The sequence below is a fragment of the Homo sapiens genome, chromosome 9 (genome assembly GCF_000001405.40).
Source record: "Homo sapiens chromosome 9, GRCh38.p14 Primary Assembly".
Taxonomy (NCBI): Eukaryota; Metazoa; Chordata; class Mammalia; order Primates; family Hominidae; genus Homo; species Homo sapiens.
The window spans coordinates 83755713-83782293 of record NC_000009.12 but is presented as its reverse complement, the minus strand read 5'-3'; the positions used below and the strand labels follow the sequence as shown (position 1 = coordinate 83782293).

General features: G+C 37.3%; 1 protein-coding gene across 5 annotated transcripts in view, besides 1 other annotated feature; it reads left to right on the top strand.

The window, feature by feature from the left end:
* The window catches only part of GKAP1 (G kinase anchoring protein 1), a 78345-nt gene that overhangs the window by 35476 nt on the left and 16288 nt on the right, over positions 1–26581 (top strand). For 4 of the 5 annotated variants that reach the window (NM_025211.4, XM_011519058.3, XM_005252241.3 and 1 more), the window contains 2 exons: positions 1890–1912; positions 13324–13476. In NM_025211.4, coding sequence (NP_079487.2) covers positions 1890–1912; positions 13324–13476 — 176 coding nt within the window. The remainder of the gene's footprint in view (positions 1–1889; positions 1913–13323; positions 13477–26581) is intronic. The other variant, NM_001135953.2, reaches the window with a different exon arrangement.
* Positions 12253–12453: a silencer, noted in NCBI's record as "peak7279 fragment used in MPRA reporter construct". NCBI's record gives its function as "represses an SCP1 promoter by STARR-seq MPRAs in K562 erythroleukemia cells {active_cell/tissue: K562}" and the evidence as "EXISTENCE:reporter gene assay evidence [ECO:0000049][PMID:32103011]".

Below are 26581 nucleotides of genomic sequence, written 5' to 3'. Positions count from 1 at the left end.
TACCTTTAATCCCAGTGCTTTGGGAGGCCAAAGCAGGAGATCACTTGAGGCTAGGAGCCAGAGGCTAGCTATAGTGAGCTATGATCATGCCAGTGCACTCTAGCCTAGGCAACAGAGTGAGATCTTGTCTCTTAAAAAAAAAAGAAAGAAGTGGCTGGGCACAGTGGCTCACGCCTGTAATCCCAGCACTTTGGGAGGCCGAGGTGGGCGGATCACGAGGTTAGGAGATCAAGACCACCCTGGCTAACACAGTGAAACCGATCTTTACTAAAAATACAAAAAATTAGCTGGGCATGGTGGCACGCGCCTGTAGTCCCAACTACTCGGGAGGCTGAGGCAGGAGAATCACTTGAACCCGGGAGGCAGAGGTTGCAGTGAGCCGAGATCGTACCGCTGCACTCCAGCCTGGGCGACAGGGTGAGACTCCATCTCAAAAAAAAAAAAAAAGAAGAAATACATTTTATTAAAAACTAGGCAGAAACATGGAAAGAATGCTTTCTAAAACTCCTGTTTTCCACATTTGATTTCTTAAATGGTATGTAAATTTGAGAAAAACATCAGTATGTTATTAAAGAGAACCTACACAGCTTTTGCAAGTCATGATTAACACAGTTGAGGTTCTTCCTTAGGTTCTGGCATCACTGTATGCTAAATAGAGCGTGCTAGAAGAGTGACTGTCTAATTTACCAAGATTTGGTAGTTTGATCTAAAGTTGGTGATTTTGGCATTTACTGTGTTTATGGACACTATTCTGATCAAGAAATTCTTTAGAGAACTGGACCAGCTTTTAGATTCTCAGTCATAAGAAAGTTATATTTTTAGTCCTTGAGAATAGAAAATTTCTGCTGTACACAAGAAGCATTGTTAAGTATTAGATACCTGATCATCTACTTTAAATAAGAATACTTGCCCACTATTTGTACTTTATTTAGAGACAGAGTTTTGCTCTGTCGCCCAGGTTGGAGTGCAGTAGCATGATCCTGGCTCTCTGCAGCCTCCGCCTCCTGGGTTCAAGCAATTTTCATGCCTCAGTCTCCCAAGTAATTGGGATTACAAGTGTGTACCACCATGCCTGGCTAGTTTTTTTATTTTTAGTAGAGATGGGGTTTCACCATGTTGGCCAGCCTGGTCTCAAACTCCTGGCCTCAGGTGATCCGCCCGCCTGGGCCTCCCAAAGTGCTGGGATTACAGGTGTGAGCCATAGCCCCTGGCCTTATTTGTACTTTAGATTCCCTTATGCTTTCCTCATTCTGCTCTTGATAATTCCTTTCCAGAAATGCTGTGTTGTTTCTAAGCCAATAATTTGTTTCATCTAGATGTATTTGTTATGGGTTATTTTTTATGTTAAGTCTATAAATATATATCAATTTTTAGGTTTTTTAATAGTGCTATTAAATCACCTTGATATATGCTTTTAAAATAAAATAGCTAGTAGTTTTAAAGGACATAAATTACTATTCTACCTTTTCATTACACAAAAGCAGTAATCTGAACATTTTTTGTAGTTATAGTAACCTGTGATTTGATTTTGGACATACTTGTGTCCCCTTGACTTGCTCCCCCCACCTCCCAAATTATGTGGAACCAAAAAACTAGATTATGTGGAACTCATATGCTTAAAATGCAATAATATCCCTTGATATGGGTGGGATTTACTAGGATAAGACGTTCCTTAAGCTGAGTAAATTAGTAATTATATACTGAATTTTAACATCTTAAACCTAGAAAAGTAAATCAGATGAGAATCCTAGAAAACTCTTAAATGACTTCTATAACTCATAGGAGATAATTTTGAAATTCTTTCAGTTTCGTTTTTTTTTTTTTTTTTACATTTTTGTATGTTAAATTCCTTCAATAAAGTTTCATCTTTGTTTCTTTTTCATTTACAGATCACATTAGTAAAAAGACTGAGGTAAGTCTTATTGTAGCCATCTTGTAGAAAACACTGATGATTTTAAGAATAATACTTAAATACTTAGCAGTAAGTCTTTTTTGAGACATAATCATTTAAAGGACAACCCATAGGTTTGTCTTGAGTGAACCCAGTCATGTTTCTGCCATTATATAAGGATGTAAAATGCATTGTTGTAGAATAAAAATAAGATTATTTGCATGAAGCATAATATAATTTGGCTTTATCATCCTAATTTGTATATATATGTGTATGAGCCAAAGGTTACTTTGTGTGTGCCAAGCTTAAAATCTCAGAGAAAAGTGGTTTAATCTCTCACTCTATATTTTAATCTTTATTAAAAACTTATCCTGAGAAGATGTCTCATATTATTTTGGAATTATGGAAGTTTGAAATAAACTGTGATTCTTTAGATATACTCATGGGTAAAAGTAACCTGATTATATACTTCTCTTACCATTCACTGTTAGTGTAGCCTACACTTCCTGGTGTTGGGGATTTGGGGTTTTTTGTTTCTGTTATTTAAATACTATAGTATAGCCTCTCCAAATCTTTTAGTTGGGAGATTGTGCTATTAAAAAAATGCTCTAACATTGAGGAAGATACTAATGAAATGTTAAAATTATTTTTATCTTTTAAGGTAATTTCAAAGTTTTATTCTTCTATTATATATGTGTTCTTATTAGGCATTCCGTTGTTTAATTTTTTATGGTCAGATGGTCCTCGATTTCACTTTAGAATGTGTGTGTGTGTGTGTGTGTGTGTGTGTATATGTGTATATATATACACATATACGTGTATATATATGTGTGTATATATATACACATATACACGTGTATATATATACACATATACACGTGTATATATATACACATATATGTGTATATGTGTATATATGTATGTATATGTATATGTGCGTGTGTGTGTGTGTGTATATATATATATATATATATATGGCTTCTGACCATTTTTTTGTTTGTTTCAAACATTTGCTTCACAGGCTAGGAAAACGAAATCTATCTCTTAAAAAAAATCACATCTAAATAATTTTGTGATTGTATTAATAATTTAGTTCCTAACTATGCATGCAAACACAGAATTGATTTGTTGTTGAAACAGATGGTCAATTTTTTTAAAAGTTATTTGCAAACCATTGTCATCATTTTTTAGATTAAAATTTAAATGACTACATATATAGACTGAATATTAATTCCATGTTTGAAAGTGGAAAACATACTTTTGAACTGATTCCAATTTATTTTTGTCCATTGATTTATTTGGGGGATAGTGTTATACAAATAAGAAAGCAGATACACATGGTGTACCTGCTCCTAAGACAACTCTATAAACTGTTTGATGCTTGCGTTTTCTTCTTTCCTGATTTGAAAGAAGACAAAAAATGCAAACTGACAAGATCCTACCTATTTAATATATTAAAGATGAGTTGTATTTAAACAAGCTTCTGTATGTAGAATAATATATCTTGTCTTTCCTTATTTTAGAGCTGTGTTCTGTCTTGTTAAATAATCTGATATATAATAAAATTCATTTTGAAGATTTCTGATTAAGTTCCACATTTGTAAATACAGTCTAATTATGATTTATTTCCCTTACAACTATATTAAGAATTTGGTTATAAGAATATGTAATTCACATTATCTTTATTTTTGTTTTTGTTTTTTAACTTTTAAAGTTCAGGGGTACATGTGTAGGTTTATTATATAGGTAAATTTTGGTCACGGTGGTTTGTTATACAGATTATTTTGTCACCCAGGTATTAAGCCTAGTACCCATTAGTTATTTTTCTTGATCCTCTCCCTCCTCCCACCCTTCACCCTCTGGTAAGCCCCAGTGTGTCTTGTTCCCCTCTATGTGTCCATGTGTTCTCATTATTTAGTTCCCACTTAAAGTGAGAACATGCAGTATTTGGTTTTTGTTTCTGCATTAGTTTGTTAAGGATAATGGCATCCAGCTCTATCCATGTCCCTGCAGAGGACACAGTCTCATTCTTTTTTATGGCTGCATAGTATTCCATGGTGCATATATACCACGTTTTCTTTATCCAGTCTACCATTGATGGGCATTTAGGTTGATTCTATGTCTGCTATTGTGAACAGTGCTTCAGTGAACATATGTGTGCACGTGTCTTTATAATAGAACCATTTATATTCCTCTGGGTATATATCCAGTAATGGGATTGCTGGATCAAATGGTATTTCTGTTTTTAGTTCTTTGAGGAATCGCCACACTGCTTTCCACAGTGGTTGAACTAATTTACATTCCCACCAACAGTGGATAAGCATTTCTTTCTCTCTGTGACCCTGCCAGTATCTGTTATTTTTTGACTTTTTAGTAATAGCCATTCTGACTGGTGTACCTTTTGATACTTGTTAAAAGTATGCCGAAATTATGTTCCATTTCCATTAGAGGCATTTCTTTCTGGGACTTAAATATTTAAATGTTACAACGGTTATACCATTGATCTAGAAATTTAGAAGATCTTTTTTTCCACAGAGAATCCAAAAAAGCCTAAAGAAAATTCCAATTTGAACTCTCAAACAAAATGTTATTTGCTCCTACAAATGAACTAGTTTTGTTAACGTCGTATGCTGAATGATTAACTTAATTCATTCCATCTTTAATATATTACTTAGGCCAAGGGATTTTTTTTTCATGGCTACTCTTAAGTTCCTAACATCTGTGGCAAATAATATTCTTCTTACCTACCTCCCCTTAAATCAGATATTTATTGGATAACATTCAGAAGGGAAAATATTTTACTTTATTGATGGGTGATGAGGTGTACTTGAACTGCATATATATTCTTGGTGCTAGCTAAACTTGTTCTCAGGTTAATTTCATTATTTCTTTTTTCTTCTGTCTAGAGTAGGTGCTTGTACATACCTCTTTATAAAATCTCAACAAATCATGCCTTTTCAGGAGTTTTATTTGATTCTTAGTCTTTTTTCTTCTGTTGGACTGAAGTTGTTTTGTTTTTTAATATGTTGCTTTTTAAATGCCAGAACTGTTAGGAAGGGTATCTCATAGATACTCATTTCTCTCTAGTCCCAATTTTATCTGGCCTTCCAAACTCCAGTCCTTCTAGTATGGTTTTAGTTTTAAAAATCTTAGTGATCATCATATGTCTTGAAGTCTAAATGATCCAGTCTTCAATATGCTTGAATGCACTATCATTGGAGGAGTACCCAAGAAACTGTAACAGTGGTTGTCAAAGGTGGCAGTGGGGGAGATATTGGACAGAGGGATAGGAGAAATAGCCTGCCTGCTTTTTACAGTATAAGCTTCTGAATTTTCTATCATGTCCGTGTACTACTTATGTAAAAATTATATTAAAAATAAAAAGAACTGTGTGAAGAAAGGAACCAGGGAACAAACCCAGTCCTATCTGTCTCTACAACCTACTTCCTTCTTATAGCACTGTGCTTTAGCACTAATGCTCCACATGTCTACCTTTAGCTGATTATGAGCGTGGACAAATAATTTATTCACTTTAGGCCCTAGTTATATTATGAAAAGTAATGTTGGATCTGTTGATTTCTAAAATTATGATAAATGATCAGAGTGCAATTGAAATAAAGAATAAAGAAAAATACGCTAAAAAAATGAACCCTATTGTTAATGCTACCAACACACAGGAGTGTAGCAGTAATCAAATTAGACTATTAATTTTATTTTTCTTTCTGAGATGGAGTCTCGCTATCTTGCCAAGCTGGAATGCAGTGGTGCAACCTCCACCTCCAGGGTTCAAGCGATTCTCGTGCCTCAGTCTCCCGAGTAGCTGGGGTCTACAGATGTGCACCACCATGCCCAGCTAATTTTTGTATTTTTAATAGAGGTGGGGTTTCACCATGTTGGCCAGGATGGTCTCTATCTCTTGACCTCGTGATCCACCTGCCTCGGCCTCCCAAAGTGGGATTAGAGGTGTGAGCCACTGCACCTGGCCTAAATTTTTTATTTTGTTTCTTTTCTTTTTTTTAGGTTATTAAATTTTAAAAGCAAATAAATTTAATCTAGCTTTAAATAAATCTCACCTAGAATCTGGTTTTACCTAAAGATTCAACCTATTTTCTATTCTTCTCAGTGTGTTGAGCTCATTCTTGTTACTAAGCCTTTCCTTGTTTGTATGTGTTACATTTGTTAGCTCTCTTTGGTTATAAGCAACAGAAGCCCAACTCAATCCAGCATAAACAAAACAGAGACAGTTATTTGGTTAATGTAACCACATCATGGAAGAATAGGGGGAGAGTTGACCTCATAGTTGACTGGATCCAGGCATTTAGACAGCTTTAGGACTCTCCATTTCACTCCCTACTCTCAGCTGCTATCTGTTCCTTCACTTCAGGCGAGATCACATGATTACTTGGGAATCTCGGGGTTATAGCTTTACAGAATTTCTTATAAACTGTTAATTAGCTTTTGAGGTTTGATAGATTCATTTCTTTTTCTTTTCTTTTCTCTCTCTTTTTTTTTTTTTTTTTTTTTTTTTGAGACAGAGTCTCTCTGTGTCCTCCTGGCTGGAGTGTAGTGGCACGATCTTGGCTCACTGCAACCTCTGCTTCCTGGGTTCAAGCGATTCTTGAGCCTCAGCTTCCCGAGTAGCTGGGATTACAGGCGCCCAGCACCACGCCCAGTTAATTTTTTATTTTTATTAGAGACGGGGTTTCACTGGGTTGCTCAGGCTGGTCTCAAACTCCTGGCCTCAAGTGATCTACCGGCCTTGGCCTCCCATAGTGTTGGGATTTCAGGAGTGAGCCACTGTGCCCGACTCAAGTTGTTTTCTTTCAAAAAAAATTTTTTTTTCCTTTTTAACATCTGCCAAGGCTCTGTCATCCATCAAGTTGTTTTCTTGAGGAGTTGAGGGAGGCAAGAATATTTCCTAGATGGTGTGATATATTTCCTATCATATCACATCGGGGTCATAGAATATGAGGTTATTTTTATGATGTTAAATTGATTACTGTTTCTAAAACCATTCTCCAGTAAAAGGAACCAGGACTCGTTGGAGAAATGGCTGTATCTAGGGCGATGACAGGGAATATACAAGACGAGCCCAGAGCCAGGCATGGTGGCTGGCGCCTGTAATGCCAGCTACTTCAGAGGCTGAGGTGAGAGGAATGCTTGAGGCCAGGAGATCCAGACCAGCCTAGGCAACATAGTGTGATCCCATCTCTAAAAATTTTCATAAACAAAATTAGCAGGCTCAGTGGTGCACACCTGTAGTCCCAGCTACTCTGGATGCTGAGGCAGGAAGATCATTTGAGCTCAGGAATTCCAGGATGAGCTATGATAGCACCACCGCACTCTAGCATGGGCGACAGAGTGAGACTTCATCTCTTAAAAAAAAAAAAAGAAGGGGCCGGGCGCGGTGGGTCACCCCTGTAATCCCAGCACTTTGGGAAGCTGAGGTGGGCGGATCACAAGGTCAAGAGATCGAGACCGTCCTGGCCAACATGATGAAATCCCGTCTCTACTAAAAATACAAAACTTATCTGGGTGTGGTGGCATGCACCTGTAGTCCCAGCTACTCAGGAGCTGAGGCAGGAGAATCGCCTGAACCCGGGAGGTGGAGGTTGCAGTGAGTCGAGATCGCACTGCTGCACTCCAACCTGGCAACAGAGCCAGCCTCTGTCTCAAAAAAAAAAAAAAAAAAAAAAAAAAGGGGGTTTCTGTTTATTGATAGTTTCTTTTGCTGTGCCGAAGCTTTTCAGTTTAACTAGGTCCCGTTTGTCAGTTTTTGTTTTTGCTACAATTGGCTTTTTTTTTTTTTGAGACAGGGTCTTGCTCTGTCACCCAGGCTGGAGTGCAATGGCACGGTCTCAGCTTACTGCAACCTCTGCCTCCCAGGCTCAAGCAATCCTCCCACCACAGCAGCTGGGACTACAGGCACATGCCACCACTCCCAGCTAGTTTTTTGTATTTTTGGTAGAGACAGGGTTTCGCCATGTTGTCCAGGCTGGTCTTGAACTCCGGGGCTCAAGTGATCCACCTACCTTGACCTCCCAAAGTGCTGGGACTACAGGCGTGAGCCACCGTGCCTGACCTGCAATTGCTTTTGAGGAGTTGGTCATAAACTCTTTCCCAAGGCCAGTGTCCCCATTGGTATTTCCTAGGTTTTATTCTAGGATTCTTGTAGTTTTAGGTCTTACATTTAAGTCTTAAATCCATCTTGAATTAATGTAAAGTAGGTATAGACCAGGCACAGTGGCTCACGCCTGTAATCCCAGCACTTTGGGAGGCCGAGGCGGGTGGATCACTTGAGGCCAGGAGGTCAGAGACCAGCCTGGCCAATGTGGTGAAACCCCGTCTCTACTAAAGATAGAAAAATTAGCCGGGTGTGATGGCACGTGCCTAGAGCAAAACTGTCTACAAAATAATAATAGTAATAATAAAGTAGGAATAAGGTGATGTTAACAAATATGATTTTTGTTAGGTATGATGATGATAATATGGTTAAATTGGACAATTTTTTATAGCTGCATGTGAAAGAATTTCGAGATGAACTATCATAATAACTGCATTTTATTATAAAATACCTAGGCCCAAAAAGGAGGGCTAAATGTAGAAAATCCTTAAATCTAAATGTAGAGTATATGGATGAAAATTTTCATAATAAAAAGTTAAGAAACCAAACAAAATGAAATTATATTATTTAGTGATGCATCTGTAAAACAACAAAAACATGGAAATGATCAACACTAAGTTGAGGTAATGGTTACCTTGTCGAGGCACGAAGATGAGACTAAGGGAAGAGTATATAGATGGGCCATAAGGTCTGTAGGTAATATTCTAGTTTTTAAGTAGAATGGTGTGGGATCAAGTGTGTTTTTTTTTTAAACAGCTGTATTGAGTTATAATTTAAATACTATAAAATTCACCCATTGCAAGTATATAATTCACTCATGGTTGTGCAGCCATAAACACAGTCTAGTTTTGGAACATTTCCATAATCTCAGAAAATTCCCTCATAGCCATTTGTAGTCAATCCCTACTCCCACCTTCAGCCCCTGGCAACCACTGATCTACTTTCTGTCTCTAGAGATTTGCAGTTTCTTGTAACCTATAATGGACTCATAGAATGTATAGTCTTTGTGTTTGGCTTCTTTCACTTAGCATAATGTTTTTGAGGTATATCCGTGTTGTAGCATGTGGCAGTAGTTAATTCAGCCGTATCACTGAATAGTATTTCATTGTATAAATGTTGTTTATTCACCAGGTTATAGGCTTGCTATGCACATTTGACGTATGTCTTTGTGTGGATATGTTTTAATTTCTCGTAGGTGGTTACTTAGGAGTGAAATTGCTGGGTTGTGTGGTGAATTTATGTCTAACTTTTAAAGAGTCTGTCAAATTGTTTTTCAAAATGACTACCATTTTTCACTCCCACCAGCAATATATGAGAGTTCTAGCTCCTACGCATCCTTGCCAACGCTTGATATTATCTCTTGTTTTGATTATAGCCATTCTAGTGGGTATGTAATGTATTTGATTGTAGTTTTAATTTGCATGTTCCTAATAACTGGTGATTTCAGACATCTTTTCATATGCTTATCAGCCATTCTTATATCTTCTGGAAATATCTATTCAAATTTTTTGCTCATTTTTGTGTATTTTCTTATTGATTTGTATGATTTCTTTATATGTCTGAAAACAAGTCCTCTATCAGATACATGATTTGCAAATACTTTCTTCCAGGCTATGCCTTGCCTTTTCTTTTTAATTTTTTATTGATACAAAATAGATGTACATATTTTGGGGATGTCTTTTTGGTTTTTTAATTGTGTCTTTTGAAGCACAAAAGTTTTAAATTGTTATCAAGTCTAGTTTGTGACTTTATGGATTGTACTTTTGGTGTTCATTAAATAAATCTTTGCCTAACACAAGTCATGATGATTTATTCTAGAGGCTTTATAGTTTTAGTTCTTCCTTTAAGAGTCTGTGATCCATATTTTGAGTTAATTTTTGTGAATTGTGGCATATGCATAGACACTTCTCCCAGCACAACACTCTTATATCCTTAATAAAATACCTTGACACCTTTTTAAAAAGTAAATTTGATCATAAATATGAAGGCTCATATCTAGATTCTCAATTCTGTTCCATTGATCTGTATGTCTATACTTACATAAGCACCATACTGTCTTATTCATTGTGTGCTTGGTACCAAATAGGTGTGCAGAATTTGAATTAAACTGAAATTGAATTGGCTAGACTTATTATGTTAAATATTTTATGTTCTTACATTTGCCATATTTTAATCTTTTTTTCTGGTGTGTGTGGGATGTAGTAGTTGATTTATTTTTGCTTTTCTCCCCCCTATAGTTTGTTATCAGTATCTTTTGAAAAAAATCCCATCTCTAGATCAAAAAGAAACTTTGTGGCCTCACTCAAAAGTACTTAAGGGACAGAATGCCCTTTGTGATAGGCATGATGTGATGGTAATGGGAGCAACTATCAACAAGCAGGGACATTGGCTAGAATTATAATTATAATTATAATCTCTAGTGATATGAAATCCAGAGGCTGATTAGTTGCTAGCAGTATGTTATTCTTTCCACAGAAGCTCAGCAGTGGTTTTTAGCATTTCTGTATTTATTGCTGTAAAATAAAATCTTACAAGAATATACTGGAACTATTTTATGAAGCAGTAATTTTAGAGTTATGCCTGTATCCCTTAGCAATCGCACATGCATTCTTAAGGCCATAATTACTTGGGGGGGAAATAATACTTGCTCATCAACTTCTCATGATGTTTATGAAATTCAAATAAGGTAATGTTTGTTTAAGTGCTTTGCAAGATATAAAGTGTTGCACAACCATTTTTAATGTCATTCATATAGTAAGCACTGGTATACAAATAAATTTTTTTCAAACACTTTACTTTCTAAGATAATGTGAAGTGAAAAGTATGAATAATTATTGAACCTTGGGGTCGTTTGCCCACAGATACAATTGTGAATAGCTGTAGTTCAAGAATGTGGGGACAGGCATGGTGGCTCACACCTATAATCCTAGCACTTTGGGAGGCTGAGGCGGGTGGATCACCTGAGGTCAGGAGTTTGAGACCCACTGGCCAACATGGTGAAACCCCATCTCTGCTAAACAAACAAACAAACAAACAAACAACAAAAAAATTAGCCAGGAGTGGTGGCATGTGCCTGTAATCCCAGCTATTTGGGAGGCTGAGGCACAAGAATCGCTTGAACCTAAAGGGGTGAGGGTTGTAGTGAGCCGAGATTGGGCCACTGCACTCCAGCCTGGGTGAGAGTGAGACTGTCTCAAAAAAAAGAGAATGTGGGACATAGGTGAAACCAATGAGTGAGAGGAATGTTTTCTTCAGTCTCTGTCTTCATAACAGGATGTTGAAGAGGAAATGCTCCTTTTCTTGGAGAATGTAAAATTTCTAATATATAATTGGATAGACAGTGATAAAAATCTTATCTTTTAAAAATCTTCTATTGGCATGTGGAATTTATATAAAAATTATTTTAAAACGTAATGTAACGCCGGACGCAGTGTCTCATACCTGTAATCCCAGCACTTTGGGAGGCTGAGGCGGACAGATCACCTGAGGTCAGGAGTTCGAGACGAGCCTGGCCAACATGGTGAAACCCTGTCTCTACTAAAATACTAAATTACCTGGGCGTGGTGGCACATGCCTTTAATCCCAGCTACTCAGGAGGCTGAGGTGGGAGAATTGCTTGAACCTGGCCTGGGAGGAAGAGGTTGCAGTGAGCCGAGATCTTGCCATTGCACTCCGCCTGGGCAACAAGAGTGAAACTCCGTCTCAAAAAAAAAAAAGCAGTGTAAACGATTGAGCAACATAAAACTATAATAATCAAGACAATCTGGTACTGGCATAAGAATAGACATTTACAGATTGATAGAATAGGATTAAGAGTTCAGAAACAAACTATTGATTTTGGACAAGAGTCCCAACGCAGTTAAAAGGGCAAAAGAATAATCTTCTCAACACATGATGCTGGATATTGTCATGCAGAAGAGTGAATTTCGACCCTTTCTTCACACCGTGTACAAAAATTAACTCAAAATGGATCACAGAACTAAACACATGAGCTAAATCTGTAAAACTTTTAGAAGAAAATATAGGAGTAAATTTTTGAGTTAAGCAATGGTTTCTTGGATAAAATTGGACTTCATCAAATTTAAAAACTTCTGTGATACAAAGAATACCATCAAGAATATGCCAAGACAAGCCATGAAATGGTAGTAAATGTTTGTAAATCATATTCAATAAGATATAGACATTTAGAATATATAAAGAACTGTTACAACTCAAAAAAACAAGTAACCCAGTTAAAAAATGGGCAAAGGATCTGAGAAGACATTTCTCCAAAAAGATATACAAATCTTCAATAAGCACACAAAAGGGATGTTCAGCACCATTCGCTGTCAGGGAAATGCGACTGAAAACCGCAATGAGATAGCACTTCACACCCGGTGGCTATCATGAAAAAGGCAGATAACAACAAGTGTTGATGAGAATGTGGAGAAATTGCAACCCACTTGACTGCTGATGGGATTGTAAAATGATGGGCTGCTTTGGAAAATTATCTAGCGATACCTCAAAAGGTTAAACATAGAGTCACCAGCAGTTCTACTCTTAGGTATATACCCAAGAGAATTGAAAATACGTCCACACAAAATCTTGTGCATGAATATTATAGCAGCACAATTCGTAATAGCCAAAAAGTAGCAACAACCCAAATGTCTATCAACCAACAAATGGAGAAATAAAATGTAGAATGGGATATTTGGCAATAAAAAGGAATGAAGTGCTGATACAAGCCATATATGGATGAATCTTGAAAATATTTTGCTAAGTCAGAGAAGCCAGTCAAAAGTTCACATATTGGATTATTCTGTATATACAAAATGTCCATAATAGGCAAATCTATAGAGACAGTAAATAGATTAGTGTTGCCTGGGGCGGGTGGCAGGTATTAGGAGGAAATGGGGAGTGACGGCTAATGGGTACAGTTTCTTTTTGGGGTGATGGAATTGTTATATAGTTGATTGGGGTGATGGTTGTACAACTCTGTGAATATATTAAAAAACCAGTGTCTTGTACACATTAAATTGGAGAGTTGTTCAGTATATAAATAACAGAAATTTAAAAAGCAATATCTAAGTCCAAAAAATATGAAGTATGAAAGGAAATTTCCAAATGTGTCTCTACTGTTTTATCTTCTGGAGATGGAGAAGGATCAAGTCGTTGATTGTCTCTTAGCTGTCATTTTTCTTTCTTTTTTTATCCTTCTAGTGGTTGACTAGGTGTACTAAATGCATATCCCTTCTTGTGGTTGACTAGGTGTATTAAATGCATATCAGTGCATGTTGAATGATAGTAAATCGTAATTCATTTTTGACAGGAATTGAGTTCTTCTCAGACTTTATCACATGATGGAGGATTCTTCAATAGACTGGAAGATGATGTTCATAAAATTCTTATTAGAGAAAAACGAAGAGAACAGCTTACAGAATATAATGGAACAGATAATTGTACAGCTCATGAACACAACCAGGCATGTAAAGTAGAAAATTCTCTTAAAATCACAGTGAAATTGAAATGTAATTTTTATTTTTTAAACAAGTAAGCAGTAGAATCAAATTATGATTGTATAAAGTAGTAGTTTAGGATATGATCTTAGTAATTATCACGCAAAGGTATTTATATTAAAAAGTATGAAGTATACTCATACTGTATGACTAGTTCATTCATTGATGACTATTTGCTGAGCATGTGCCATAAGCTATGTACTGTTAGGCACTCGTATGAGGGAGTGGAAACACGAAGATGGATAAGACCTTTCTTCCCTTAGACACTCAGAGTTGTGGGGATATGGAGAGGTAGACCTGTAAAAGGATCATCATTCAGCACAAATGAAAACTTTAAGGGGGATATGAACAATAAAAAAGAGGTTTTGAATAGCAAAGGTAATTGATCACTGCTTGGGTGAATTGTGGTGGGTATATAAAAAGTGACATTTGGGATGGAGTATGAATAGTGAGGAACTGTATAAGCTGAGAAATAGAGAAAGACTTTGGGTCTAAGGGAACTGAGAGAACAGACGTCCTGAAATATAAAAGGCCCTAGACCAAATGTTTAGGAAACTGAAAAATTCTGCAACTAAGAAGTTTACAGTTAAGCAAGTGTGGGATGACATGACTGGAGACATAGATTAGATTTATGTCATAAATGTCTTTTCTGTGAAACTAAGAAGTTAGAATTTTATCCTTTACAACAGGGCAAGCTATAGCCCATGAATCAAATCTGGTCAGTGGTCTGTTATTATAAGGACTGTAAGCTAAGAATGGCATTCATATTTTCAAAATACTACTTAAAAAGAGAAAAGAGCCTGGCACGGTAGCTCACGTCTGTAATCCCAGGAACTTGGGAGGCTGAAGCGGGCAGATCACTTGAGGCCAGGAGTTCAAGACCAACCTGGCCAACATGGCAAAACCTCATCTCTACTAAAAATACAAAAATTAGCCAAGCATGGTGGCACATGCCTATAATCTCAGCTACGTGGTAGGCTGAGACACGAGAATTGCTTGAACCCAGGAGGTGGGGTTGCAGTGAGCCAAGATGGTGCCACTGCACTCCAGTCTGGGTGACAGAGCAAGACTGTGTTTCAAAATTAAATAAATAATTTTAAAAATTAGAAAAGAGAGAATATGGCTGGGTGCTGTGGCTTATGCCTGTAATCCCAGCACTTTTGGGAGACTGAGGCTGGCGAATCACTTGAGGTCAGGAGTTCGAGACCAGCCTGGCCAACATGGTGAAACCCTGTCTCCACTAAAAATAAAAACAAAAATAACTGAGCGTTGTGGAGGGCGCCTGTAGTCCCAGCTACTCGGAAGGCTGAGGAGGAGAATCACTTGAACCCAGGAGTCAGAGATTGCAGTGAGCCAAGATCACACCACTGCACTCTAGCCTGGATGACAGAGCAAGACTCCGTCTCAAAAAAAAAAAAAATATGTGACAGAGACTGTATAAAACCCATAAAGTCTAAGATGTTTGTTGTTGGACCCTTTGCAGCAAAAGTTTGCCAGCCTCTGCTACAAACCAGTGTTACCCAAGATATATTATCTGAGGGAGAAAAAGATGCTTTCTCTCCTCATACCCCAGTCCTGGATATATGGGACCAGGAAGAGGTGAGACCTACTCCAAGATCCTCACTGCCACATCTTAAATTCCATCATACAGAGAAAGTGTGTTACCTCTCAGACCTCTATGTCTGCATTTATTTTTATCACCAAAACCACTAGTCTCTTACTTCGTCTTAACTATAAACCTGTTCTTGACCCTATATTGACCTCCAATCCATCAATTCTCCTAGCTTGAAACTTGTAGTAATTTCACTAATGTCCCCATGAACACTTTACCCTTACTTCCTTAATTTTCTGTGATTCCTTTCTTGCCAGTATGTAGCACTGGCTCGCACAATATTGTCTGCCTTGCCTGTTTTAATTCTCCAGCCACCAGGTGTTTAAAAGGTATTTCTAAAAACACTGCTAATGTTCTCATCTGAAAATCAGTACTATGTAACTTTTGCCATAGTCTCATTTCTACTTAACAGTCCTTTGATTGATCTCTTTCTAAATTTGACAGATTCCTACAATAGCCATTCCAAATTCGAATAATCTGGTTCCCATCTGTTTCCATCTTTTCTTCTCTTCAATGGATGTTATCGCTTTGTTTACTACAAAGACTGGTAAATTCAGTCTTACAGTAAATTAACACCATCTATTAACATTTGTGTTATATGGTATACAGGAGAAGCTTTAAGAACTTTTTACTCTAATGCAGCAATAAGGTTTGTCTATAAATAACACTGTTTCTTATGGAAAATCTATTTTCGACTCAGTAGTGGGGAATCCTTGCCTACCCTGACGTACTCGTGAGGTTCTTTCTGGCATTGAATTAAATTTAATTGTTTTCCTGTCTTTCCTCAACTTCCAAATTTTATGTACAATCCAAGCGTATTAGTCCATTCTCATGCTGCTATGAAGAAATACCCAAGACTGGGTAATTTATCAAGGAAAGAGGTGTAATTGACTCACAGTTCCACTTGGCTGGGGAGGCCTCAGGAAACTTAACAATCATGGTAGAAAGCACCTCTTCACAGGGTGGCAGGAGAGAGAATGAGTGCCAGGTGAAGGGGGAAGCCCCTTATAGACCATTAGATCTCATGAGTATTCACTCACTATCACAAGACCAGTATGGGGGAAGCCACCCCCATAATTCAATTATCTCCCACCTGATCCCACCCTGGACTCATGGGAATTATTATAATTCAAGATGACATTCAGGTGGGGACACAGCCCAACTATATCATTCTGCCCCGGCCCCTCCCAAGTCTCATGTCCTCACATTTCAAAACACAATCATGCCTTCCCAACAGTCTTCCAAAGTCTTAACTCATTCCACGATTAACCCAGAAGTCCAAGTCTAAAGTTTCATCTGAGATAAGGCAAGTCCCTTCTGCCTCTGAGCCTATAAAGTCAAAAGCAAGTTAGTTACTTCCTAGATACAATGGGAGTACAGGCATTGGGTAAATACGCCCATTTCAAATGGGAGAAATTGGCCAAAACAGAGGGGCTACAGGCCCCATGCAAGTCTGAAATCCAAAAGGGCAGTCATTAAACCTTAAAGTTCCGAAATGATCTCCTTTGACTCCACATCTCGCATGCAGGTCTTGCTGATTAAAGAGATGTGCTCCCATGGTGTTGGGCAACTCTGCCTCTGTGGCTTTGCAGGGTACAGCCTCCACTTACTGGCTGCTTTCACGGCTGGCATTGAGTGTCTGCAGCTTTTCCGGTGCAAACCGTGGGTGGATCTACCATTCTGGGGGCTGGAGGACAGTGGTTCCTTCTCATAGCTCTGCTAGGCAGTGCCCCAGTAGGGACTCTGTGTGGGGGCTCTTGACCCCACATTTCCCTTCCACACTGCCCTAGCAGAGGTTCTCCATGAGGGCTCTGCCCCTGTAGCACACCTCTCTACCTGGACATCCAGGAGTTTCCATACGTCCTCTGAAATCTAGGCAGAGGTTCCCAAATCTCAGTCCTTCTCTTCTGTGCACCCACAGGACCAACATCATGTAGAAGCTGCCAAGGCTTGGGGCTTGCACCCTCTGAAGCAAAAGTCTGAGCTGTACCTTGGCCCCATTTTTAGCCATGGCTGGAGCAGCTGGGACACAGGGCACCAAGTCCCTAGGCTGCACACAGCAGAGGGGCCCTGGACCCAGCCCAGAAAACCAATTTTCCCTCCTAGGCTTCCAGACCTATGATGGGAGGGGCTTCTGTGAAGGTCTCTGACATGCCTTGGAGACATTTTCCCCATTGTCTTGGTGATTAGCATTTGGCTGCTTCTCACTTGTGTGGTAGACTTGAATTTCTACCCAGAAAATGGGTTTTTCTTTTCTACTGCATTGTCAGGCTGCAAATTTTCTGAACTTTTATGCTCTGTCACCTCTTGAATGCCTTGCTGCTTAGAAATTTCTTTCACCAGATACGCTAAGTCACCTCTCTGAAGCTCAAAATTCCACAGATCTCTAGGGCAGGGGCAAAAAGCTACCAGTTTCTTTGCTAAAGCATAGCAAGAATGACCTTTCCAGTTCCCAACAAGTTCTTCATCTCCATCTGAGACCACCTCAGCCTGGACTTCATTGTCATTCAACAAGTCTCTAGGAAGTTCCAGATTTTCCCACATTTTCCTGTCTTCTGAATCCTCCAAAGTGTTCCAGCCTCTGCTTGTTACCCAGTTCCAAAGTCATATCCACATTTTCAGGTATCTTTATAGCAGCCCCTGACTCTCTGTGGTACCAATTTACTGTATTAGTCCATTCACACACTGCTATGAAGAAATACCCGAGATTGGGTAATTTATAAAGAAAAGAGGTTTGACTCACAGTTGTGCATGGCTAGCGAGGCCTCAGGAGGCTTACAATCATGGTGGAAGGCACCTTTTCACAGGGTGGCAGAAGACAGAACGAGTGCTGAGCAAAGAGTGGAAGCCCCTTAGGAAACCATCAGATCTTGTGAGAACTCACTCACTAACCGGAGAGCAGTATGGGGGAAACTGCCCTCTCCACCTAGTTTCACCTTGACACTTGGGGATTATTACAATTCAAGATGAGATTTGGGTGGGGACAGAGCCAAACCGTATCACCAAGCAACCATGTTAATTAACATTTATGGTTAGCATATTCACTTCTTCCTTTTTCATTGATTATGATTTTCCTTTTTCATTATGATTTTCCCCTTTGTAGTATCTTTTTTAAAGCCACCTGAGATCATTTTTGGATAGAAGGAATGATATTTGTATATTTCAGGACATACTTAGGTTCCTCAAGGCCTTTATAGAACAAAGTTGGGTATATAACTTTATATTAACAAGTTTAAATAATTAAGTAGCAGTATGATTTAAACCGAAGTGATAGTTTGACATAGTGGAAAGAGAACAGACTTTGAAATCAAACAGTTTTATCGATTATTACATTGGGATGAAATTACCTGCCTTTCTTACACTATTAGGAAAGTTATAGATTATTATTTAAAATGTTTAGCAGAACATGTTTTCCACAGTATGCACTCAATAGATAATTATTTTTGTACAAGCAAAAAATGGTGAGCCCCAGAAAAGATACACTGTTAAAATGCTATAGTAATTCACAGGAAAGGGGATCAGAGATGGCTTTGTGAGGAGAAAATAGCATTTGAATTAGAAACTTAGAGTAGAATTTGGGTTTTCTTTGCTCTTTTTAAAGAAATTTTAATTTTTGTGGCTACATAGTAGGTGTATATATTTATGGGTTCCAAGAGATGTTTTGATACAGGCATGCAATGCTTACATAATCACATCTTGTAAGCATTTATCCTTTGTGTTACAAACAATCCAATGATACTATTTTAGTTATTTTTAAATGTACAATTAAATTATTGACTAATAGTCACCCTGTTGTGCTATCAAATACTAGGTCTTATTCATTCTTTCTAACTTTTTTGTACCAATTAACTATCCTAACCACCTGCCCACTCCCTCACTGCGTTTCCCAGCCTCTAGTAACCATCCTTCTACTTTGTAACTCCATTAGTTCAGTTGTTTTGAATTTTAGATCTCACAAATAAGTGAGAACATGTGATGTTTGCCTTTCTGTGCCTGGCTTATTTCACTTAGCATATGACCTCCAGTTCCACCCATGTTGTTGCAAATAACAAGATCTTTTTTTATGGATGAAGAGTACTCCATCGTGTATAAATACCACATTTTCTTTATTTATTCATCTGTTGATGTACACTTAGGTTGCTTCCAAATCTTGGCTGTTAGAAACAGTGCTGTGATAAACATGGGAGTGCAGATAGCTCTTCAGTATACTGATTTCCTTTCTTTCGGGTATATACCCAGCAGGATTGTTGGATCATGTGGTAGCTCCAGTTTTATTTGATTTTTGTATATGGCAAGAGATAGGTGTCTAGTTTCATTCTTCTGCAGATGGATATTCAGTTTTCCCAGTGCCATTTATCGAAGAGACTGTCTTTTCCCCAGTGTATGTTCTTGACACCTTTGCCAAAAGTGAGTTCACCTCAGGTGTGTGGATTTGTTTCTGGGTTCTGGGTTCTGTTCCATTGGTCTGTGTGTGTGTGTTTATGCCAGTACCTTGTTATTTGGTTACTATAGCTCTGTAGTATAATTTGAAGTCAGGTAACATGATTCCTTCAGTTTTCTTCGTTTTGCTTAAGATATCTTTGGCTAGTGTGTCTTTTGTGGTTTCATATATATTTTAGGATTGTTTTTCTATTTCTGTGAAGAATGTCATTGGTATTTTAATAGGGATTGCATTGAATCTGTAGATTGCTTTGGGTGGTATCGACATTTTAACAATATTCATTCTTCTAACCCATGAACATGGAATATCTTTCCATTTTGTCATCTCTTCTTCAGTTTTGTTCATCAGTGTTTTATAGTTTTCATTATGGAGATCTTGTTTGGTTAATTCCTAGGTATTTATTTTTATTTATGGCTATTGTAAATGGGAGTAAATGGGATTACTTTTGTTGATTTTTTTTTCAGGTTGTTCTCTGTTGGCCTATAGAAATGCTACTGATTTTTCAAGGTTGATTTTGTATCCTGCAACTTTACTGAATTTATCAGGTTCTAATAGTTTTTTTGTGGAGCCTTTAGGTTTTTCCAAATATAAAGTGATACCATCTGCAGACAAGGATAATTTGACTTCTTCCTTTCCAATTTAGATGCCCTTTATTTCTTTCTCTTGTCTGATTACTCTAGCTAGGACTTCCAGTACTACGTTGAATAACAGGGTGAAAGTGGGCATCCTTGTCTTGTTCCAGATCTTAGAGGAAAGGCTTTCAGTTTTTCCCCATCCAGTATATTACTTGCTGTGGGTTTCTTGTGTATGGCTTTTATTATGTTGAGGTATATTCCTTCTATACCCAGTTTTTTGAAGGTTTTTATCATGAAGCGATGTTGAATTTTATCAAATGCTTTTTCAGCATCAATTGAAATGATCATGTGGTTTTTGTCCTTCATTCTGTTGATATGATGTATCACATTGATTGATTTGCATATGTTGAACCAGCCTTGCATTCCTGGGATAAATCCCACTTGGTCATAATGAATGATCTTTTTAATGTGTTGTTGAATTCAGTATTTTTTGTGGATTTTTTGCATCAATATTCATCAGAGATATTGGCCCCTAGTTTTCTTTTTTCGATGTTTCTTTGTCCGGTTTTGGTATCAGGGTAATACTGGCCTCATAGAAGGAGTTTGGAAATATTCCCTCCTCCTCTTTTGTCAGAATAGTTTGAGTAGGATTGGTATTAATTCCTTAAGTGTTTGGTAGAATTCAGCAGTGAAGCCATTGGATCCTGGGCTTTTCTTTACTGGAAGACTTTTTATTATGGCTTCAATCTTATTATTGGTCTGTTCGATTTTGGATTTCTTCATGGTTCAATCTTGGTAGGTTGTATGTGTCTAGGAATTTGTCCATTTTCTCTAGATTTTCCAATTTATTGGCATATAGTTGCTCATAGTAGCCACTAATGATCCTTTGAATTTCAGTAGTATTAGTCATAATGTCTCTTTTTTTATCTGTGTTTTATTTGGATCTTCTCTTTTTCTTGATGTGGTTAAAGGTTTGTCAATTTTAATTTTTCTTTTTTTGATGTTTTTTGTTTTAATTTTTTAATTTTTAGGTTTTTTTTCAAGTTTAATTTTTCAAAAAATCAACTTTTGGATTCTTCATTTCAATTTCATTTATTTCTTTTGTATTGCTTTCTTCATTTTAGTTTCATTTATTTCTGCTGTGATGTTTATTATTTCTTTCTTCTCATTTTGTGTTTGGTTTGCTCTTGCTTTTCTAGTTCTTTAACATTAATTGTTAGGTTGTTTATTTGAAATTTTTCTTCTTTTTGGATGTAGGCACTTATAGCTATAACTTTCCCTCTTAGTACTGCATTTATTGTATTCCATAGCTTTTGGTGTGTTATTTCCATTATCATTTGTTTCAAGAAATTTTTCAGTTTCCTTCTTAATTTCTTCATTGACCCACTGATCATTCAGGAGGATATTGTTTAATTTCCATGTATTTGTATAGTTTCTAAAATTCCTTTTGTCCTTGATTTGTAGCTTTATTTCATTGTGGTCAGAAAAGATGCTTGATATTACTTCAATTTTGTTAATGTTTTAGGACTTGTTTTGTGACCTAACACAGGGTCTATCCTTGAGAGTGATCTGTGTGCTGAAGAAAAGAATGTGTATTCTGCAGCTGTCAGATGAAAAGTTCTGTCAATATCTATTAGGTCCATTTGGTTTATAGTGCAGATTAAGTCCAGTGTTTCTTTGTTGATTTTCTTACTAGAAGATCTGTCCAATGCTGAAAGTGGAGTGTTGAAGTCACCAGCTATTATTGTATTGGGGCCCATCTCTCTCTTTAGCTCTAATAATATTTGCTTTATATATCTGGGTGCTCCAGTGTTGGGTGCATATGTATTTAAAATTGTTATATCTTCTTGCTGAACTGACTCCTTTATCATTTTATAGTGACCTTCTTTGTTTCTTATAGTTCTTGTCTTGAAATCTATTTTGTCTGATATTAATATAGCTACTCCTGCTCTTTTTTGGTTTCCCTTGGCATGGAATATCTCTTTTACGTCTTCATGGGTGAAATGTGTTTCTTGTAGGCAACAGATCATTGGGTCTTATTTTTTAATCCATTCAGCTGTTCTATAAAGACAATAGAATTTGAACATGCAGAGATGAAGAAGAAGAAACTGGGATGCCTTGAGTAAAAGTATGGAGGTAATGAAGTATAAACCAGTTTAATTAAAATAGAAGGTTTATAGAGGAATGTAATATAAATTTGAAAAGTTAAGTTGGAAAAGACTGTGGCAAATTTAAAGGCTGGTTTATAATTTAGTCAGCAGACGTTAAAGACTTTTTGAAGATTTTTGAGCAGAAAGCAAAGTTTATTACAGTAATATTAATTTCACTGCAGTGCCTAGGAAAAAACCGAAGGAAGGTAAAGACTACTAATTATTAGGAAGGATATAGAACAGCATTAACATACCACTAGTGGGAATGTAAATTGGTATAACCATTTTGAAAAACAATTTGGCATTCACTTTTAAAGTTGAAGATAATGGGCATGACCTTATGTTCTAGAAATTCTACCCCTAGATTAAACCCTGAAGACATGTCCAAAAAAAATGTTCAAAACTCAGTTGTTTGTAATAGCAAAAGAATAAGAGAAGTGAATAAGTTGTAGTTATACATAGCAACATGGATGCATATCAAGAGCATAGCATTTAATGAAAAACATAAGTCACCAAATAATAATTTGATGACATTCATATAAATTTTTTTTAATAACCCTGTCTCTGCAAAAAAAAAATTATCCAGGTGAGTTGGCATGCATCTGTAGTCTCAGCTACTCAGAAGGCTGAGGTGGGAGGATTGATTGAACCTGAGAAGTCAAGGCTGCATAGAGCTGTGATCATGCCACTCCCTTCCAGCCTGGGCATTGAAGCAAGACCCTGTCTCAAAAAAATAAATAAAAATTAAAAATAGAAATTTAATACATTATTTAGGGCTTCATATACATGTAGTAAAATACTTTAACAAAGGAAAAGAACGACAAAATCTGTAATCATGGATATCCTCAGAAGAGGAGGGAAAAGGGGTATGATTGGGGAGGGGCTGCCAAGGTATTGGTAATGTTCAAATTCTTAATCTGCTTTTTGGTTTATTTTTCTTTTTACCTAATGTGTCGTACATAAAATTCTTTTGCGCATGTGAAGTTTTTCATAAATGAAAAAATTAGAAGTTTTTCTTAGCTTTCATTAAGTGTAAAGGAGAGAAAAGAGGATTCATGCAGTTTAAAAAATTCTCCACTTCTCTTTCTGTATATACTTCTTTCCTCTATCCAATGTGCTCCTTTCTCAGAGAAAGAAAGCTCTTCTGCTTTCCAAGGTTAAAATCCTTTTTAACTGTGCATACATTAATATATTAGGCATTTTTAAAGGTGAAAAGTAAATCAACCCTAAGTCTGTCTGTCATTCAGTTTTTTTTTTTTTTGGAGATGGAGTCTCTGTCACCTGGCTGGAGTTCTGTAGTGCTATCTTGGCTCACTACAACCTTCACCTCCTGGGTTCAAGCAATGCTCCTGCCTCAGCCTCCCAAGTAGCTGGGATTACTGGCATGCACCACCACGCCCAGCTAATTTATTATGTATTATTTTTTTATTTATTTAGTAGAGACAGGATTTTGCCATGTTGGCCAGGCTGGTCTCGAACTCCTGACCTCAAGTGATCTGCCTGCCTCAGCCTCCCAAATTGCTGAGATCATAGGCATGAGCCACCGTATCCAGCCTAGTTTCATTTTTGAATAGTGTTTTTCTAGGAAAATGCCTAGATGCATAGGTATTTTAAAATAATTACAACAATAATGAATCTAGTTTTCTAACCCCTTTTGTAATCCAGGTGTTATATCCTGCCAAATCAACATGCTGTAAGTTGCTTGGTATTTGCCCTATTATTGAACATTGTTTAGAATTGATGGCTTGATATTCACTGATCATACATTTAATTTTTTGGTGAATCATTTCCTTGGAATCGATTTTTTAAGATAATAATTGAATCAAAGGATATAAGCCTCTGTGTTGCTCTTGGTGCATTCAGCATATTGTCTTCTAGCAGCAGGATGTGAGATTACTAATTTCTCCACAACTGCACCAACGCTAGGTAGGTCAGTTATCCCTGATCCTGTCCCCTCTTGTGGCCTTCGGGGCTCTGTTTTATTAATTACCCTTGCGGCATATTCCATCCTGTTGTTTGATGGATACCTTAGTCTCACTGTGTTCAAACCCAGGCTCATCATCTTCCTCTCCATACCAAGCATTTGGCTTGACTTCTGTCATTTCAGTTTTTGGTTTCCTCATTTTATCTAGATATCCAGATTCTACACTTTTTTTTTTTCACTTTTCTGTTTTTCAAGATTTTTAGAGTTTTAAATCTTTGAAATATTTTTCAGATCTATCTTTGTTTCCATTCTTACCAACATTTCTCTAATTTAGGCTCTCATTATCTCTTACTGGCATTATTTCAGTAATCTAACCAATCTTTCTGCTTCTTGCCTTTAATGCCATATAATGTGTTACACCCTGCTAACTAATGCCTTTTTATAAATCATTACTGCCATCATGCCATGCTGTGCCCTTAAACTTCAGTGTCTGTTGAATTAAGTACAGTGTCCTTGACCTGACACCCAAAGTCCTTAGGCTATGCTTTTCAAACTGAGTTTCCCAACCCATTCAATAGGCCCTAAAATCAGTTTAGTAGATTGCTACCAAAAAAATGGGACAGGAGAAAATGTCAGAGTATGTGACACCTATTTATATTTTGTGAAATTTGTTTCTATGTGTGCATGTGTTTGTATAAAACCTATCATACGTCACTGTCAAATAAGTTTGAAAACATTGTTATACAGGATATCCTTAACTTAATTAACTTTAGCTGTTTGTACTCTTCCAATTTTTCTTCTAGCTGGAGCAGACCACTCCTGTCACAGAATGCTGAGTGGGTCCCAGCTTTATTCAAGGTTCATTTCATTCATTTCACATGCCATCTCCTCCCAGAAGCTCTCTCTCACTGCCCCAGCCAAACCCCAAACCCGAGACACGGAAAACCTGGATATAATTTTCCTTTTTCTATACCCCATAGCATTTTGTTTTTCTTACTGCACATTTCACACTGCACATTTTCCCTGTCATTTTTAATAGATTACAGAGCCCTTGTCAGCATAGGCTTTATCTTGTACATCTTTTCATCCTCATTTTAGTATAATATTTTCTACTTAGAAGATACTTTTTAAAAGGTATTTATTGAAATATAGGACTTCATTGAAAATGAGTATACATTAAAACAATATGACTTTGTTTTAAAAAGTAGTATCTCTTGTAGAAATTTTGGGAACTGCTGATAAGTAAAATGAAGAAATGATAATGGCAAAAATAAGTATTTGAGGTTTGCTATGTATATGCCAGGCACTGTGTTAAGTACTTAAAATGCATGATCTCATTTGATTATTAACAACTAACTATGAAGTTGGTGGGTATCATTATCATCCCCAGTTTTCAGATGTAGTGGGAGAAAAATGACCCTAATCTCATTCACCTAGAGAAAACTACTACAGTACTGATAATTTGGTGTGGTCTTACTATGGATATATTCTTTTTCCCTCATTAATGTAGAAACTGTTAGATGGACCACTTTTTCAGTTAAATACAAATGATGAGCATTCAGGACATTAATTCTTTTTGTTTTGTTTTCTTTTTTTTTTTTTTTTTTTTTTGAGATGGAGTCTCACTGTGTTGCCCAGGGTGGAGTGCAGTAGCGCAATCTCAGCTCACTGCAACCTTCGTCCTCCAGGTTCAAGCCATCCTTGTGCCTCAGCTTCTCCAGTATCTGGGATTGAAGGCATGTGCCACCACACCCAGCTAATTTTTGTATTTTTAGTAGAGAATCACCATGTTGGCCAGGCTGGTCTCAAACTCCCGACCTCTGGTGATCTGCTCACCTCGGCCTCCCAAAGTGCTGAGATTATAGGCATGAGCCACTGTGCCTGGGACATTAATTCTTATACATGAAATAATTCAGTTTATAGGTAAATTGCCTCTAATCACACTAAGAAAAAAAAATTTTTTTAATGTACCAGTTTGGCTGGGTGCGGTGGGTCACGCTTGTAATCCCAGCACTTTGGGAGGCCAAGGCAGGTGGATCGCCTGAGATCTGGAGTTCAAGACCAGCCTGGCCAACATGGTGAAACCCTGTCTCTAGTAAAAATACAAAAATTAGCCAGCAGTGGTGGCAGGCGCCTGTAATCCCAGCTACTTGGGAGACTGAGGCAGGAGAATCACTTGAACCTGGGAGACAGAGGTTGCAGTGAGCTGAGATCACACCACCGTACTCTAGCCTGGGAGATAAGATCGAGACTTCGTCTCAAAAAAAAAAAAAAAAAAAAAAGTACCAGTTTGATAAAACCTGGATTTGCTTACTAGTGAGATTGTACTTTTTTTAATGTTTGTTGGTCATATGTCTGTCATATTGGTT